At 44.3% G+C, this 18,191-nt stretch overlaps 1 protein-coding gene across 16 annotated transcripts in view, besides 1 other annotated feature; it reads right to left on the bottom strand.

The window, feature by feature from the left end:
- Positions 1-18,191, bottom strand: part of ST6GAL2 (ST6 beta-galactoside alpha-2,6-sialyltransferase 2) — an 85,678-nt gene that overhangs the window by 38,082 nt on the left and 29,405 nt on the right. For 14 of the 16 annotated variants that reach the window (XM_011511999.3, NM_032528.3, NM_001322362.2 and 11 more), the window contains exon 2: positions 3,354-4,353. The exons of 1 other annotated variant lie outside the window; for it this stretch is intronic. In XM_011511999.3, the coding sequence (XP_011510301.1) occupies positions 3,354-4,296 (943 nt within the window). In that variant the 5' untranslated portion in view covers positions 4,297-4,353. Of the gene's footprint in view, positions 1-3,353; positions 4,354-4,576; positions 11,329-18,191 lie in introns of those variants that run through there. One more of the 16 variants, XM_047446026.1, reaches the window with a different exon arrangement.
- Positions 12,138-12,743: an enhancer, noted in NCBI's record as "OCT4-NANOG-H3K4me1 hESC enhancer chr2:107468275-107468880 (GRCh37/hg19 assembly coordinates)". NCBI's record gives its function as "activates a minimal SCP1, AML or CMV promoter by ChIP-STARR-seq in primed H9 embryonic stem cells {active_cell/tissue: H9 hESC(primed)}" and the evidence as "EXISTENCE:reporter gene assay evidence [ECO:0000049][PMID:30033119]".

Genomic DNA, 18,191 nt, shown 5'->3' on the forward strand with positions numbered 1-18,191 from the left:
CCAGAATTCGAGTTTCAGGTACACAGATCTTGGTTTCCCACATGAAGGCTATTACTGGTGGTTCAGAGCAGACCTTTCTGCTCTGTAACATGTTTCCACATGAATGCTAGTAGCACTGCATAGAAGCAAATTATTATTGCTTATATGCATGGATGAAAACAGATCATCTTATAACTCTAGGAAAGAATGATCCAGGTTTCCAAAACAATTAGTTTGTTTTTCAATAACACATTCACAGTGGAAGTGTTTACAACTGCTCTACTTTTCTAACCAAAACCAATTCCATTGTGTGACCCAGTTCCAACAGAAGGGTAGGGGGATGGGGGCTGCACTGCCAGTGGAGCAAACACCAGGGGGAGCGAAAGGGCAGCCAGTAAGCAAACCTGAGACTGACTGGGTCTCCCTTTGACGTCAGCATGGAGAGGGCTCCTCCTGGCAGAACATAGGTAGGGCTGATAAGCAGTGATCATCTGAGACACTTCCTAGCTCTGCCTTCAATTTTTCATAAGATCGTGATCTTTGGTAAGTCTTTTGATCTTCATTTAGCCAATTCACAAGTAGATGCTTAGCGGCCAACAAGAATTTCGCTACACCATGCCCCCAATATTCTAAGCTGCCTGAAGGAATTTGCTGCCAGAGTTTGTTTGTATTCTGCAAGCCATTCATAACTATGTGGGTTTGCTTGCATATATTCAGGTGAACAGGAAGGAGCGAGGTCGGCACCTGGCATGTACACTGCTGATGCTGAGATACCAACTTATACAAATGAAACTTTTTGTTTATACAAATTGAGCCATGCTATGGTTACATGTTCTTAAAATAGTAGATACAAAATCTGATCCAAACAACCCTAGACAAAACAATAAAGAGAATTTTAAAGAAATTTCCAGGCATGTTCTTCAGTTGTGATTCTACAGTTCTAATCATAAAGGCTCATGCAAGTGCATGCCAAATAAATTAGATTTGGATACTAGAAATTAACAAAGATATAACTGGCATTTCAAGTTTCCCAGAAACATGGACTTCTCAGCGTCTTTCACGTTCTCTTCCAAATTGTAAACAGAGTTTACAAGATTCTGGTCAGGGATATTTATGCAGAAAAAAAGAACGAGGGACTGCCCACTGACATGCAAGAGCAATCCAGATCTTCACCTCTGATGCAGAGGTGTTTAAAACAAAACCAAACCGGAAGCAAGTTACTGCCTGCTTCAAGCATAATACTTAAATTCCTTCTCCACATTATTAATATTGGCTCTCAGAAATGAGAAAGAACTGTGGTGTTATTTCACCCCGGGGACCTCTAAACCACTGCTTCTTCTTAATAAATTGCAGGCTGCTCTGCTCTGGCTTTGGCTACAAGCTTATATGACACATGGACTGTGTTATTATGAGCCTGCTGTAATGTCAGCACAGGGACACAGGTACCCCAGACCTTGATTCCAGACTCACTGTCTTGTTTTTTTTAACTTTAAAAATATTTCTCATTCAGCCTCATGCCCAAGGACTTCTGCTGAGCTGAGATCTGGGCTTCTGAGCCTGCCTACAGTGGCTTCACCCTATTCCGAGAGAACTCTGGAACATAGGCCACTCTTCAAGGACACAGAACAACTAATGGATCCGCTTAAAATGAAGACAACAAAGATTACTTATTTGCAAAGAGGGAGCAACACTCCCGGAATGTCACTTCCAGACCAGTTATGCCCTAACAACGCCTACTGTGAGAGTGTACAGGACATGATTGTTTTATATCTGGACTTGAGGCTGACGCTGTATTTGACTCACATTTGTTTTACTGCTCCTCGTACAGAATCAAGCACATATTAGGGGCTAAACACATATTTGTCAAATGAATGAGCCTAAAGGGCCAAGCTGCTTGCTGACTGGTCTAGCAGTGGAATTAGCCTGGGAAGAAGGGGGGTTCCGGGAGCAAAGGGATCTGAAACTGCTGAGGGAGAGCCCAGCTATGGCAACACAAGAGCCTGGGTATCTCTGGCAAGACAGGGTGAGAGTCTGGGGCAGGTGGGGAAATGAATGTGATCCAGCGAGGAAGGGGAATTCTGAGGAGAGCCAATGCAGGCCCATCTGGTGCAGAACCTACACCACTCTGCAGGAGGGAAACGTATTTGAACCCTGCCATGGCCCCATCAATCAAAAAAGATTAGAATTGGTATTTTACTTGAAAACTAGGAAGAAATAGTGATGGCTAATGTTGTGTGCCATCTTGGCTAGGCCACAGTGCCCAGCTGGTTGGTCAAACACTAGTCCAGATGTTGCTGGGAAGGTGTTTTTAAGATGTGATTAACAGTTAAATCACTAGACTTTGAGAAAAGCAGACGACTCTCAAAATGCAGGTGCGCTTCCTCAAGCCAGGTGAATGCTTTAAGAACAAAGACTGAAGTTTCCTAAAAAAGAAACAATTCTGCCTCAAGACAGCAACACAGAAACTCTGCCTGAGTTTCCCATCTGCTGGGCTGCACTACCTATTTCAGACTTGCCAGCCTTCACGATCATGAGAGTCAAGTCCTTAAAATAAATCTGTCTCTGTATAGACACATATCCTCCTGGTGTGAGTCTCTGGAGAACCCTGACTGATACAGGAGCTGGGAAACATGTGCTCCAGGGCTCTTGACAGGGATGTGAAGGCAGAGCCTGGCAGGGAGGGAGGAAGCCCAGGTGTTGCATGTTATTTACCATCTTGGAGAAGGTCCCTGGTAGGTGCACTGGCAGTGCCCCAAAGGTTGGATTTGCGCCAACAGTTGGGAGGCCGGAACTTATTCTCCCATGGGAAAGATGTTCCCAACAGCAGCTGGGCTCTTCTCAGAGCTCACAGTAACCAATATTATCTTCATGCACCCTGCTCTTTGGAGCTGACGCCCTGATTGGGCAGCTTCTGCTTTCTTGCCTCCTCCTCTTGTTCCCTTCCCATATTCCCACTGCAGGATGGGTTCACCGGGCTTTCAGGGGCCACAGCCTGGGGGCATATCCATGCAGACTGCGGTTTCTATGGGATACGAAGTCTGAACAGTGAGAAGGACGCCGGGGGCAAAGGGCGGCGCTTTCCTTCCACTGCCTACTGGCATCAGCTATGGGGAGGACCCTTCCTGCTCCCTAGCATTCCCCAAATCCCTGCTCTAAGAGTCTCCCGAAGAGTACTTCTGCTGTGACCCCAGGCAGACTCATTCTGTGCCAGCAATGGGAAAGCACCTGAAGAATCTCCAGCTAATATTAGGAACACCTGGTGCGGAGACCCCAGCTTGCCCCGTCAGAGATCCAGAGGCGCGCTCAGAAAGAACCGGCCCCCAGGGACACACTGGCTCAAGACAGGGCGACCTGGTCCCCCCGCTGAGACCTACCTATTTCCTCGCCCAAGGAAGAGTTGAGGATTGCGCCTGCAGACATGACGACAGCGCAGCTGCGCAGGCCGCGGGGGTGCAGCTGGCTCAGGGGCACGGCGGGCACCAGGCGCCGCCAGCCCAGCGCAGAAAAGGGCGCCTCGGTGCCGTCCAGCGTCCGCACGCGCGCGCGGCTCCGCAGCTGGCACAGCAGCTGTGCCCTGCTCAGCCCGGCCTCCCGCTTCCCGCGGAAGCGCACCCCGTGCTTGTTGGCGGTCAGGTAATCCTTCATCGCCTTCTGCAGGCGCGGGTTCAGCATTTTGGAAGAGACGTTCCCCTTCCAGAGCCGGTACAGGAAGGCCCTGGACATGGAGGAGTACAGCCTGTCGCCGTCGTCGCCCTCCTCCAACACGTGGCTCCTTCTCTGCCTCCGGTGCCTCTTCTTCACCCGCCTCCTCTGGACCTGTGCAGCCGGAAAAGCCCCCTCCCGTGGGCCTGGCTCCCCGGGGGAAGGGAATCCCAATGTCCCCTGAGTGTGGCTGTGCCACCCTGGCTGACCAGCAGCAAAAAAGTAGTCGTCATCCTCCGGGTAGAAAGCACTTTGAGATTTTCTCCCCACCTGGGATGAAAAAAACTCTTTATGTTCAAACCCATCTTGGGACTGGGCCCATTTCTGCAGGTCTCCAGGCCCCGCATGAAAGGAACCGGCTGGGTGGGCGCGGGGCAGCGCCTGGCGTGCGTCCAGGCCCCCAGGCGGGGAGGGCTCATGTGCGGCGCCCATGATGGCCCGCTGCTTCCCCTGCACCGGCAGGAGCCTCCTGGTCTCCAGGAAGGAGAGGGAGCTGGGTACAGGCTCAGCGGGGTTGCTGTCGGTGAAGTAGATGAAAATCAGCAAAAAGAGGAGCCCCCAAGCGAATATTCCGAAAAGCATTCGTTGTCTCCATTGCTTCAAGTGTGGTTTCATGGCAGGTCTCTGCGGTCAGCACCTTGTGTCTTAATGCAGATGGGTGGCAGAATGAACCTGAAAAACAGCCAGATGGCAGTTAGCCAACATGGGGCATCTGCTCAGATGCTGCTGGGGACATTCTATCTTGAGCAGTGTTTCTGTAGGTGGTGGGGTGGGGTTGTAGAAGGGGCACTAGAAACCAGAATCATCCAGGAGTTTTAGCTAAATCCAGGTGTCATATCTGTCCCCCTCCCCGCCCCCCACCTCCCACCAACCTCTGCAAAACAAGGGATCTCACCATCTCAGGTGAGTCTTTGGAGAGAGGCGATGGATGGGTGTATATTTGCAAAATCCTCCCCATGTGACTCAGGGACACGTCTGCCTTCCCACTTTGATAGACAGTAGTGCCCCTGCCCACAAGTTCCCCCTACTTCTGAGATGATAAAATTCCAATTTGATAAAGCAAAGCCAGAGAGGTAAGCATGGTTTGCCCCTTTTGTCTGCCTATCAGACCACCGAAAGCTCAGAGCTCATAGATTTTACAGCAGCGCTGCTGTGCACTTCTAAGGAGTGACAACCCTATCTGATTCTTCCTGTTCTCCCCATTCTGGAAGGCTGCCTAGAACATACCAGAAGTCCACCGATGGCACTGAATAAAGCAATGCTTCAGTGACTGTGTCTGTGGGTGAATGTTATTTCAGGGTGCCTGTTGTCTTCAACAATGTCCCCAAGACTACCCTCCTACTTCACCCTTACCGTGAACTTTTGGTGAGATAAGAGGGAAGTACATTAAAACTTGAAATAGGAGGAGAGATGGGGAGAGAGCTTGCTGATTCTAGATGAGACTCAGAGAAAGGGTAACAAAAGGGGCAGAGATGAAAAGTAAGATACAATGAAAGAGAATGAACCTCTCCTCTGTACAGCATTGCAACTAATATGTATTGCTGTGTGGGAAGCACACAGCACTTAGTACCAAAGGAAACACAAAAACATTAATAAGAAATGCTCCTAACTTCAGGAACTTAAGCAAAGTCCTGGAAAGGGAAAATAACCTAAGGTATGTTTGTGGAATAATAACTAAGCTTGCTGGAACTTCAAGCTGAGCACTAAACCAAGCACAGGCAGATATTCAATAAATATTGGCTGGGTAAATGATCTGAGCTTGTGTTTGTGTGTGCGTTTTGCAGAGGGCCTTGTGTGTCTGTGGCTATGATGGGTGTTTTGGTGGGGGTGCTGGAAGAAGAAGCAAGACCATTTGGGGAAAACATAATTGGAAAGCTATCCTCTTCCAGCTGTGGAGGGTCTGGAGTGCCTACCTGGATGTCTGGGGCACATGCTGTATAAAAAATAGGGAGAGAGTGAAGTTCTGAGAGCAAAGGAGTTATGCATTGGTTCCATGGGCTTTCAGGAGATTCCTTGGTGGCAAGTAAGGTAGAGAAGAGTGCAGGGAGGCAACACAGACTGCAAGGAAGTCGTTAGTAGAAATCAGATACTCAGAAAGTAGGGTGATTCTGAGGGGAGGGTCTGCCAGGGGAAATGTGTGACCCCCACGATCCTTCCCCAGTACAGGCTGACCAATGCCAAAACACAAAGGCATGTAGGGCATGGCTGTAATACAATGGTTGTGTTTTCACTAAAAAAGATAGGAACTGAAATCAAAATGAATGTTCCTACCTCAATGTGGTCACCTTGGGAAGTCATACAATGTCGCTGGTGGGAAAGGACGTGCTAAACTAAGAAAACTACATTCCTTTTGTGGCTCTATGGCAGGTTAAAGGTGGACACAGATTCTGTGACCCTCCACCCAGAGAGAGGCAGATTCTGTGTCTCCCCCTATTAAATAAGGACAGGCTCAATGACTGCTTGGACTAGTAGAATATGGCTGTGGTGATACTATGCCAGTTACCAGGCCCAGGTCTAGCATTTTCCACTTTCTGCCTCTCAGGACATTCACTCTGGGGGAAGCCAGACACCAGTGAAGACATATCCCTAAGCTTAGCCCAGCATGCATCGAGGAAGCCCAAGCTAGGAAAGTCCACGTGGAATGAGAGATACCCAGCCAGCCCCAAGCTGTTCCAGCCGTCCCAGCCATCCCAGCCATCCCAGCCCAGGCACCAAATGTGAAGCGCGAAGAAGTCATTCTGGATGTCCCGTCTGTTGCACTTCCCGATGACTCCATCTCCAGCCAACATCTGACTGCAACCCCATGGAAGACCGGATAGGAGAGCCGGTCTAGCCCAGTCAGTCAACGGTGAGTGATAATGATAGATTGTTGTTCTAAACCACGAAGTTATTTTTTATTTGTTTTGTTTGAGATGTGTATAGATGTGTATAAATACATTTATATACCTATATATGTATTTGTTTTAAATTTTAGATTCAGGGGTACATGTGCAGGTTTGTTACAGGGGCATATTGCATGATGCTGAGTAAACTCCTACATTTTAAGGTGATTTGTTACATCAGAAGATCACTGGAACAGGTTCTAATGGAAATGTTAAATAAGTTCCAGAAATCATCAGTAACATATACAACTATCTTATACCCATAATAATTAAAAAGAAAAATTAAGCCAAAAAGAAGAAGTCCTAAAAATGCTTCCAACAACTGCAACATTTTCAGATAAGACTCTAGCATCTCAGAGGGATTCTACAAAATGCAACATTCGCTTACATGTATAAATTGTGGCTTTTAAACTGTGTTTACTTTATTTTGTATTCACATGAGAGCAAGGCTATAGATTTTATATACAGTAATACATCAAACCTACATAGACAGAATATACTTTAACCAAGCCGGAACCACGGATGCCAAGAAGCGAGCGTAGAAGAATTAATACCCGCAGTTAGCTTACTATATATACAGGTCTGTGGTTAGCACTTGTTCTGGATTATTTTATTTGGTCTTTCCAGCATCGAATTAGATAGGAAATACTGTCATATCCATTTTCTAGATGAGGGAACTGAGTCCCAGAGCAATTAAGTAACTTGCCCAGGACCACAGAGCTAGCAAGCAGCAGATATTACATGCAAATCCATCTGCTTCATCCTATGGCTCACACCTTTCACAGTAAGTTCTGATTCCATCTGGTCATACCAACCAAGGCTACATTTTCTAAATTTACACTCCCCAAACTATCTGTGGTGAAGGGTAATTTTTCCCCCAAATTGTCACTGTGTGATATTTTAATATTTCCATTTCTGAATGTCTTGGCATTGTACAATTGCTATAAAAGTTTCTAAATGCCTGCTCTCAAGTTCTGTAAACATCTTACCAGGAACTGGTAATGAACAGTTGTGGATGTGCATTAGTCTGGGCCCACACTTTGAGTAGCACCTTCCACATGATCTGTCTAACCTGTCCACCCAGGGACAGTGCTTTGAGCTGTAATGACCAACATAAAGGTCTAGAAGGTGTTTCTAATATTTCAAGAATTCTATTAAGAAATTGCAAAATTATCCTTAATAACAGTTATTCTGTTGCATCCCATTGGGTGCACTGCAGTATAATTCTGACACTTGCTACTGGGAGTTAGTGTAGACCCCATGTGTTAAGGGCTCAGGCCTCCAGGAGACTGCCCTCGTTTCACATGCCAGCTGTGTGGATTTGCATGTAATTATCTGCTGCTTGCTAGCTCTGTGGTTCTGGGCAAGTTACTCACAAGTTACTCAAAGCCACTCACACTTTTAACTGTTCAACTACCAATCCCCAGACTCTAGGACACCCTTCAGGTTCGATAATTTGCTAACATGACTAACAGAAGTCAGGAAAGTACTAGATTTATGGCTATAGTTTTATTGTAAAGGATGCACACAGGGTGAGATCTAGGGGGGATGCAGTTCCACCCTCTTTCCCTGTGGAATCTGAGTGTATCACCCTCCCAACACATCAGTGTGTTCATGAACCAGAAGCTCCAGTGAACCCCAGAATCTAGAGTTGTTATTAGGGTTCCCATTAGATAGGCATGATTGATTAAATCACTGGCCATGTGAGTGAACTTAATCTCCAGTGCCACTCTTCTCCCTGGATGCCGGGCAGCCCAAAGTTCAAAAAGTTTGAACCCTGTAATTTCTTTTTCTCTTTCTTTTTTTTTTTTTTTTTGAGACAGAGTCTCGCTCTGTTGCCCAGGCTGCAGTGTGCGGTGGCACGATCTTGTCTCATGGCAACCTCTGCCAACCGGGTTCAAGTGATTCTCCTGCCTCAGCCTCCTGAAACCCTGCAATTTCATCTGATTGATCTTTCTGGTGATCAGAGCCCAAGCTGAAGCTATCTGGGGACAAAGTGAGTTCCCTCATTAGCAGAATGAAAACAGTCCTATCGCTAAGGAAATTCCAAAAGTTTTAGAAGTTCCATGCTGGGAATACCAAGGCTGCAGCAGCTGATTTAAAAGACAGTCTTTTTGTTTCTGACTGGTAGTCACCATTTCCTGGTTTCCCTGCACTGAGCAACAGCTCTGGTGGGCAACTAAAAAATGAGAAATGCAGGTTTCTGATTTCAGCATTTGCTCCAGAAAATGTTTTTTAAAAACAGAGGCAAAGATGAGATGTGTGCACAGTGGTGGGAAGTGAAACAACAAAAACAAAGCTTTGACCTGTTGGGAGGAGCTCAAAATCTCTGGCCTAGAGGGCTTGGGGCTGAGAGCCAGTGCCCCCCCACACCAGATAATCTAATATGACCTTGGTTTGACGAGTCAAGAAGCCGCAGGAACTTGAGCTGAGAAAGTGAACTTGGGAAATTTCATGGCAGGATTCAAATTATCAGATGTAAAATTAAATAATTCAAAATTAAAATAATTCAAACTTAAAGCTATTGGAACTCAAAATTATCTTGAGCCTTGGGAGGAATGTGGCTATGTAGCCTGCGTCAGACAGCTGCAACTTCTGCCTTTTTGTTCCTGCAAATAATTAGAAAGACCAAGCAGCGCCAGAGATAAGACCCTCTCAGATCACTGCACCTCCTCATGGAATAATAAAGTATTCTTGCTTAAAATGGAACAATCTGTAACCAATCAAACAGCTGTGGCATATATACCTGGTCTTGTATGGAAAATGCTGTGATTCTGCTGGAACTTCTCTGACTCTGCCTATATAATCGAAACTTTAACTTCTCCGTTTTGGAAACACTGACCCCATTCATCTGCAGTTGGTGCTTTCCCAGGTGGCCAGCCTCAAGCTTTGCGCTCAAATAAACTCTGTACTTAATCATATTTCCTGAACCTCATTATTTAAGGTTGACACAGATGTAAACTGAAAATAAATTCCTAAGCGCCTCAACTGACCCAACAGACCCCCTCATGGCCAGATGGACCCCAGAGAAACATGAAAAACTGAATTTCCAGTCATGACTGGAAGGGAGGTCAGACAGGCCTCCATATATTCCCTCTCCCTTTGATATGTGGACACAACTGACCAGGATTAATATTAACATAGACATCATAAGCTGACCAAACTCTTTGTGGCGATAAGATGCCAAATTCCAACCTGACTCTGGTATAGCATCACGTGACAGTTAGAAGACCCTGAAGGAAATCAAAATATTTTACCCCAAAATATATTTCTTTGACATATGTTGAAATGGCCATGCAAAGCTGTCTTTTGTGGGGGAAATTTGCATTGGTAGAGCATCTCCATTAATGCAGCCTACCTTTCCCCTTCTAGGCCTTTCCTGGACCTAGGAGAGATTAAATGTGAGTGTAACACCTTTAAGTTCCCAAAAGAGACATGTACCATCTATCCTCTCTGAAGGACACTACCTATGAGGCGTCATCTCTATAACAAGAATCTTGGCTTCCACAACCCCTCTTAACTCAAGCATTTATTTCTATTGACTTCAAGCCTTGAGACAAAGCTTAACTCTTTCAACCAACTGCCAATCAGAAAATCTTTGAATGTACCTACGACTTATAAACCCGCATTTCAAAATATCCCACCACTTTAGGCTAAACCAATGCACACCTTTCATGTATTGATTAATGATTTTATCTACAATGCCTGTCTCCCTAAAGTGTGTAAAACCAACCTGTGACCCAGTTGCCTCGGGCACACGTTCTCAGGACTTCCTAAGACCATAAGCCTGGGCCATGGTCACTCACATTGGCTCAGGTTTAAATATTTTACAGGGCTTTTGTGTTTTTCTCTGCATCAACACAGACATAGCCTCCATTATATGAAAACGCCTAGTTTCTACCCAGAAGAAACTACCCTTGTTTGTCATGGGGAGATGACATATGGGAAAGGAAGGGAGAAGAATGAGAGGATGTCAGAGGACACAAATAAAGAGAAGAAGCACCTGGCAGGATAGAGGGGGCTGCGTTGGTGCCAGGACCCTGTGGCAGAGTTTGCTCTCTCTGCCCGCTGTGCTGGGAAGTAGAAAGAGGCAGGATTTGTGAGGCTCTCTGAGCATCTTTAAAGGAGTATTACAATGCAAAGAATGAAGACTCTTCATTAGGTGGAGCTTAAGTGGCTCCTAATGCACAAGAATAATAGGAAGGAGTGGATTTGCTGCACTGCCTCAATTTGTGATTAGGTCTCAACTTTTAATAATCCAAAAGCCTCCACTGCAGCCTCTGGAGCTGCAAACCTTCTGCTGCCAATTGAGAGAACATTCTCCAAAATGATTAAGTCTCAAGGCAATGTCAAATCCTCTGCTAGCAAAATGCTACAGAAATCACGATCTGCATCATGGGTCTCAGTCATCAGCATATCTGTAACAAATCCAGGTTAGAGAGAGGCAAGGGACATCATCAATGTTACAGCCCTGGATCATCGTTTTCCTTGAAATGACCATAAGCCTAATAGGAAGGCTCGGCTAAGCAAGAGAAAACACATCTTTTCCTCTGATATAGTATATCTGAAATATTATAATTATACAACTTAAAGAAAGTCGTCGGTAATACTCACTGCCATATCCCATCATTAGCTGGTGTGATATAAATGACATCGGGGGATATAAGAGGCCCACCAGGCAAATCATCTGTCCCCAGGCACCAATGGGACAGTGCTCCTTAATCACACCTTCACATGTGCTTTGTCTACGATGGTTTAAGTGACTGGGGCTGTCGAGTTCTTGCCAGTTTTCCCCTGGGAAGAGCACTGGCAAGATTATACTCATACTGGATTGGGTGTGACTTTCTTTTCCTTTCCACTGCAATTCTAACATTATTACCTGGCAATGCAAAGGTCTGAATTCCCAGTGGATGTTCTCTGCCTATTTGGACTACTTTTTTCTATTTCCATTCTTTCTCCCTGTTCTCTGCCCTTTCTGGCCAGGCCTCTAGGGAACTTCTATTTTTAGAGGCAAAATCAAAAGTGCCTCACTGCTGGAAATCACGGTGATTGTTCCACTTGCTTAGGAAGGTCAGTGCCCACATCTTAAATACTAATGCCCAAACAAAGACACGAGTCACATTTCTTAGGGATAGTTAAAGTAGCACAAAAGAGTGTTTAAATTCTCCTTCAAATTCTTCTGAGAGAAATGACATTTTCCAAAAGGCACAATTTATTACGAGTTGTCAGATAAAACTATGAAATGTAAACGCTGCCACAGAGGAACATTACACTGCAGCTTAAGGTTAATGCAGCTAACTTCTTATTTTGTTCAAGGGCAAAGAGAAGTTAATTCTAGGTCTTACCACTTTAACGATGTCCCTCTTAAGCCTTGTGGTTGACAAGCTTTATTGCCCATTTTCTTGACTGGAGAGTGTTTTTCTTTCTTTTTTTTTTTTTTTTCACATTTTGATTGATGTGTCTGCTATTAATTGCCAGCTGGCCAAGTTTTCTGTGGGTCTGAGACACACTCACGTCCTTTTTTTGTGTCAAAGAGTTGTCTGGACTAATGCTAAGTCTAAGTATTTATTTTAATGTTGAAATAATAAAGAAGATTTAGCATGTGAGCTGTGGTGAGATACTCGTGTATCTTAATGGCCTTCAGCAGTCATTTTCTTTCGAGAATCATTTTTTCTAAAATTAGCTCCCGTCACATATCCAAGAAAACATCCAGTCTGCAGCAAAGAGGAAGATACCTCCCTCAGCTGGAATTCTTTTATCTCTTAACACCCTTATTGGCACTTTTTACAAATGGGCCCTTCTCTTTTCTTTGCTTTTGGTAAATGTGAGAAAGTCTCCAGACTGCTAAAGGCAGAACACCAAAGAGGCACTCCCTTATTCATTATCCCTCTAGTTTCTGCCCATTCTTAAGCTAATGTCCAGAAGAACAGAAAGAAAAAGGTCGGCCAGGTCAGCGGAGCCTGTGGTAGCGGGAGGACATCCCCCTCTCTAAGGAGTACAGTCCTGCGGGATTGCCAAGTCCTTGCCTCCTCAGAAGGGCAGCCCCCCTGCAGGCAGTGCCCCCTCCTTGTGATGGCGCTGTTTGACACCAGAATGCATGGAGCAATCCCACCTGCTAGGAAGGGCACTGCTAGGGCTGGCCGACCCAGTGACCTCGCTTGGTTGAGGCATAAGTTTAAAACACTGGCGGCTGGGCTTCCGGATAATGTAAAATTCAGATGTTTGAGTAACCCACAATGGGGATGCCTGTAAGGTTCCCGAAGGTGGGGACTACATCTTATTCATTCTTGTATTCCCACCAACCAACATGGGCTGGCCTGTGGAAGGTTCCCAGTAAATACTCCTGCAATCAATGAATGTCTGAAATTAAGAAAATAAGTGGGGGGAATGTACTGCAATGGCATTGCCTGACCAGGGGCTGTTGGTTGGTTCAGGAGGGGAAGGGTTCCTCATTTACTGTGCTGCTCAGCCTGGCAGAGGTGTCTGGGTGGCTCCAGGCAAAATCATGGTTAGGCTGTTGTAGGGTTAGGCCTGAGTCATTAACAGCAGTCGTGGCAGGAGTCAGGGGGCTGGTGGGTGCACGAGCAGCGAAGGTATCCCAGGCTGCCACTGGCCAAATGCCTGTGCTGTGCTGGGCACTGTATCTAGCACCTCACTCACATTGTCTCGATTCCTCGTCTCAGTTTAATCTTGACAACAAATTCCTTAGTAAACATTATTTGTCTCCTTAGGCCTATGAAAGCTCCGAGTGGTTCCCTTCTGGTTTACTGTCCCAAAGCCCCTGTCTTTTTTTCACTAGAACACGAAGCCAGAAAAAATTGCTGGGGTCAACTCAAGCACCAGCCTTAAAATTTTAATAAGATTTATTTTTCCTTTTGGCCACAAAGTACTATGTCTAATTTCACTCCAGCTCCCTACATTTAGCAGAACAAGTGATCCTCTGACATCCGTATCTTTGTTTGCTGGAGTAAATGATGTTCCCAGTTAGGCTTTACAATCCATACTTTCCCATGCCCCGCCTTCGTCAGAGATAGCTTAGTTTTTGGACAACTGCCAGGCGGATTTTGCCTAGGCAGAATGGGCTACCAATTTACTAACATTTCCAAAGAGACTACAGGTGTTAGGCCCATGGTTGCAGGGGTTTTCTACCTCGGTAGGAAGGCAAAACAGTTCTGCCTTTGCTGTTGCATGGTCCCAGGACTGCTGAATAAATGACAAGCAATATGGATTAAAGTAAGCCTGGAAGGCTTCAAGCAAGAGGAGGTCCAGAGCTGGACGTCGAAGGATGCACAGGTATGGAGGAGAATCAGTGATTTCAAGCCAGTGGAATGCCTGGGCCCAGTGTGCCAGGGATGAGAATGTGTATGCTGGACAGACTCATGTGAGCTGGGGCTGGACAAGGGTGAGCTGCTCTTAGAAGATGATACCATTATCTTTCTGGGTCAGGTCATTCCAGCAGTACAGGGTTTTTGCTCAAGAGACAGGGCAGATGGGAACTAGTTTAAAAGGCAAAGATTCACATATGTGAGCCACTCTGGGCATCTCCCAGTTGAGGAAGGGGGAGGTGGAAATGATTCCAGACGTCTATCAGTGATTGTGCAGAGACACAACACAAGCTGCCTACTAGTTAGGGTCTGCTGGCTTCCAGAAACAGCATTCATCTGCTTTGGACTCAGTGGCCTGTTTGTTTTACAATAATTAGCATTCAAATATTTATACTTCATACCAGAAATGTGCCAAGGCTCATGACTGGAGCTGTAAATTCGCTTCAGTCCTGATGGCTAATACTAAGAAGATGGAAGATGTATACCTGCCATTGGGACTTGAAAGGTTAGGTGAACTCCTAAAATGTGAAGTGGGCTTTGAGGTAAAAGCACAGGTGGCCAGCAGATGGCTTTTACAAGGAGGCTTCTGTACCAGCAGAGGCCACATTTCTTTCAGCGGGTGTTACAGAGTGAGATAGATAATGCCACCTATTCTGAGGAGTAAAGGCCATGCACGGTTGACCAGAAAGCCCTGTTGGCACCTGCATAATTTTGGATAAGCCTTAATTTCGGATAAGCCTCAGTTTCATCAAATGTGAGTTGTAAGATCATCACTGCTTTATGAGATGAATGAATAAAGTAATGTGCTTAGCACTGTGCCTGGCCCAAAAAGAGAGCACAATATTTTTCAGTCCAAGTTTTGAAATTCTGTAAAAGTGGAAAAGGTGGCATAACACACATGGATTTCACTCTATATTAGTGTATTGTATTGTATGATATAAGCATATATTATACTAAATAATTTAATATCTATTACATACAGTAATTTAATTTATATGTTGCATTATATGTATTATAATACACCATATTGGTGCCATGTGTATAAACTTGATGGTTTCCCAGGAGGCACCTCTCTTTAACTGACAATAAACTAACACGCCCCGGTTTAGATAAACACGAGTGTCTGACTCAAGCTAATAAGCACAGAATAAGGCCTGCCTAAATAGTTGTGACTGTCATTAGTGTACCCATCATTAAGTAACCTGAGTGTTTTTACTTGCAAAAATGTTATTTATGGCTTATTTTATTGTATAAAGTGGCTAATGAAGTATTCTCTCATGTTTTCATGTTTCATGTTTCTCAAATCCTTTTTTAAAAATATAAATAAATATACTTTAAGGAATTTTTTATTATTTTTTCCAAAAAAAAAAAAAGACCTCTCTCTAGTGTCTCAGTCATAAAAAGTAACCCTGTCAGGGACTGAATACCTGACAAATGTCTTCTAATGGGTTCACTGTGTTAATGAGCTTATTATAATTTATGCTGCTATAATTCAGCAAATATTTATTAAGTCTATCATAAGGTGGCATATATAGCACATGATACCTTGCCCCTGGAGAAGTGACTTCATTCTTGGGAAGTATTTAAATGCTTGAGTAACAAGCATGAACGAAAGGATACTATAGATTCAAATTCCAGAATCTCTCTTCAGTCCAGACCAGTGAGGCCTCTCACAAGAACCCAGGGAAGAAAGGGTGCTTAGGGGCACCCATTCAGAGGACTGCAAAGGCCCCACATGGCATTTGTTTCTCTCTTTGGAAATGGTGTTTTACGTGGTAAGAGCTACACTTAAAAAGATAAAGCAAAGCTAAATCTCTTAGCTCCATCTCTGTGGGTAAACTTCCTGTGTAACAGTTGAGAGAACAATAGAGGCTGCAAAACAAACATACAGAACTAGGCCATTTATGTAAAATGTTTAAACACATAATATAAATCACCTAGTAGCTACCTCTGAGGACGGAGGAAAGGGGTTTGGATGAGTGAGAGAGGGGATGCCTGCTTCATTACTAAAGTATTCCTTCCTTATAAAGAAAAAATTGGAAGTAAATATGGCAAAATATTAATATGTGTTACATCTAGGTACATAAACTCTTATTATATTAGTTTTTCTATTTTACCACATATTTAAAGTATTTAATAATTTTAAACAATGAAAATTTATAAAAGTAAAGTTGTAATAAAAGTTGTAAAAAGTTCTAAAATAAGACAAATCATTTATATTTACATCTCTGTTTCCAAATCAATCCCCTTAAGTGACAATTCTTGCTGATCTGGTAACACAAAACATACATCTAACATTTTACACGGAACTCCAGATTTAGTTAAAGCTTTCTTCTGGTCTTGACATGACCAGTCAAGACAAGAATTACTGAATGCTATAATGCTTTATGAAAGCTTCACAGAGTGCTGAGCTTCCGGTGGAACAACGATTACAATCCTGACTTTTACTATCCATGTAAACTTGGACAGGTTTCTTTACCTCTTTGCACCTTGGCTGCATCTTCTGTAAAATGAAGAGCATCCCAACCTCACAGAGTTGTCATAGAATAACATATTTTAAAAGAGAAAATGCAAATAAACTATAACTCCCATAAACAATAGATACGTAAAAATCCCAGCTCTGCTGTGTGCCTGCAGGCTGAGCTAAGCACTCATGTATTCCATCTTGGCTCCTAACTGCCTAGGATAATGGCATCTCTCCTCTTTCCATGTTGAGGGACAACCCAAGGGTAACAACCCTGGCTTCTCACTCCACCTTTTAATCCTTCCCACAGAAAAGGAGTCCCCAGTCCACTGAGAGACACGGATCATGGTGTGAGTCTCTGTAGACCCAAACTGTCCCTCAAATGGGTTTGTTCAAGATCTAGACTTGAGTGTGGAAGGGAAAAGGGAGGATTGGCTACCCAAATTGTTGCTCATCTCCAGGACAAAAGCTTCACCTGGCTTTTTCACTAATACCCTTGAGATTTTACCCTCCTCTGTTTGACATTCGTGGCACCAACTATGGTGTTGAGCAGTTACCATTTCAGTTTCCTTCACATCCTATGATTGAGGAGCTATGATCAAGCCCATTTTATGGATGAGAAAAATGAGTGACAGCAAGGTATTAATTACTTAAAAGCACTGCTTGTTACTGTGTGGTGAAGCTAGGACAGGACCTGGTATCTTTGAAGGCAGTCAAAATAAGGACATTTGACAATGACATCTGCTCTCATCACCTCCCAGTGTTGTTGAAAATAACCAAGAAAAAATGCATTGGCAAGAACATTTTGAATTTAGATATTCTACCAATTTGTTCAATTTTCATGACATGAGGAACAGTCAATATTTAGATTTAATAATATGCCACAGGAATCTGGGTCAATTTTTGGTTTCATAAAATAAGTGTAAATGAAAAGATGATCCTGGTATACACAAAAATCACCTTGGCAGATGCAGAGGTGCCAGTGAAAGTCATAGACAGGTAAGCATTTTTCTGGGCATGTGCAGATGGAAGCTGTTTGCTTTGCAAGGCTTTGTAAAGGCTGTGGTAGAGTAGTATCGACATTACTTAAGTTTTATTTTTGAGGATGGAATTTTAAGACCTTATTCAAAGAAAATGCCAAGTTGCTAAGGACCTAACATCTTGCTTTTTATGATGGGATACATTATCCATAGAAGTGACTGGAAAAGCCAGCCATGAGGTGTTGATTTTAATAGAAGACTTGGGCTGAGAGAAACTCATTAATTTTTATATTAGAACACATAATACGGCCAGGCACCGTGGCTCATGCCTGTAATCCCAGCACTTTGGGAGGCCAAGGTGGGAGGATCATCTAAGGTCAGGAGTTTGAGACCAGCCTGGTCAACATGCTGAAACCCTGTCTCTACCAAAAAATACAAAAATTAGCTGGGTGTGGTGGCAGATGCCTGTAATCTCAGCTACTCGGGAGGCTGAGGCAGGAGAATTGCTTAAATCCAGGAGGCTGAGGTTGCAGTGAGCTGAGATTGTGCCACTGCACTCCAGCCTGGGCAACACAGCAAGACCCCATCTCAAAAACAAAACAAAACAAAACCAAAAAAAACCACACACATATACACACATGTTCTGGAGTCAAATATAAAATCAACTTGAATATTTAATACAAAATATGGCCCTTCAAAGAAATTTCTTAGTGTAGGGTTTTCAGCTCTGCCCTCTGATCATCTTGACCTGAGTGTTCTCTGTCCGTAGAGTGGCCTCTTTGGGCAGGTGTGAGCAGCACGGCCGAAGGAGGTTGTGGGGTGACACTCAAGAACAATGCCTCGCTGCTGACAAGAATAA

The sequence above is a fragment of the Homo sapiens genome, chromosome 2, assembly GCF_000001405.40.
Source record: "Homo sapiens chromosome 2, GRCh38.p14 Primary Assembly".
In the NCBI taxonomy this organism is placed as follows: Eukaryota; Metazoa; Chordata; class Mammalia; order Primates; family Hominidae; genus Homo; species Homo sapiens.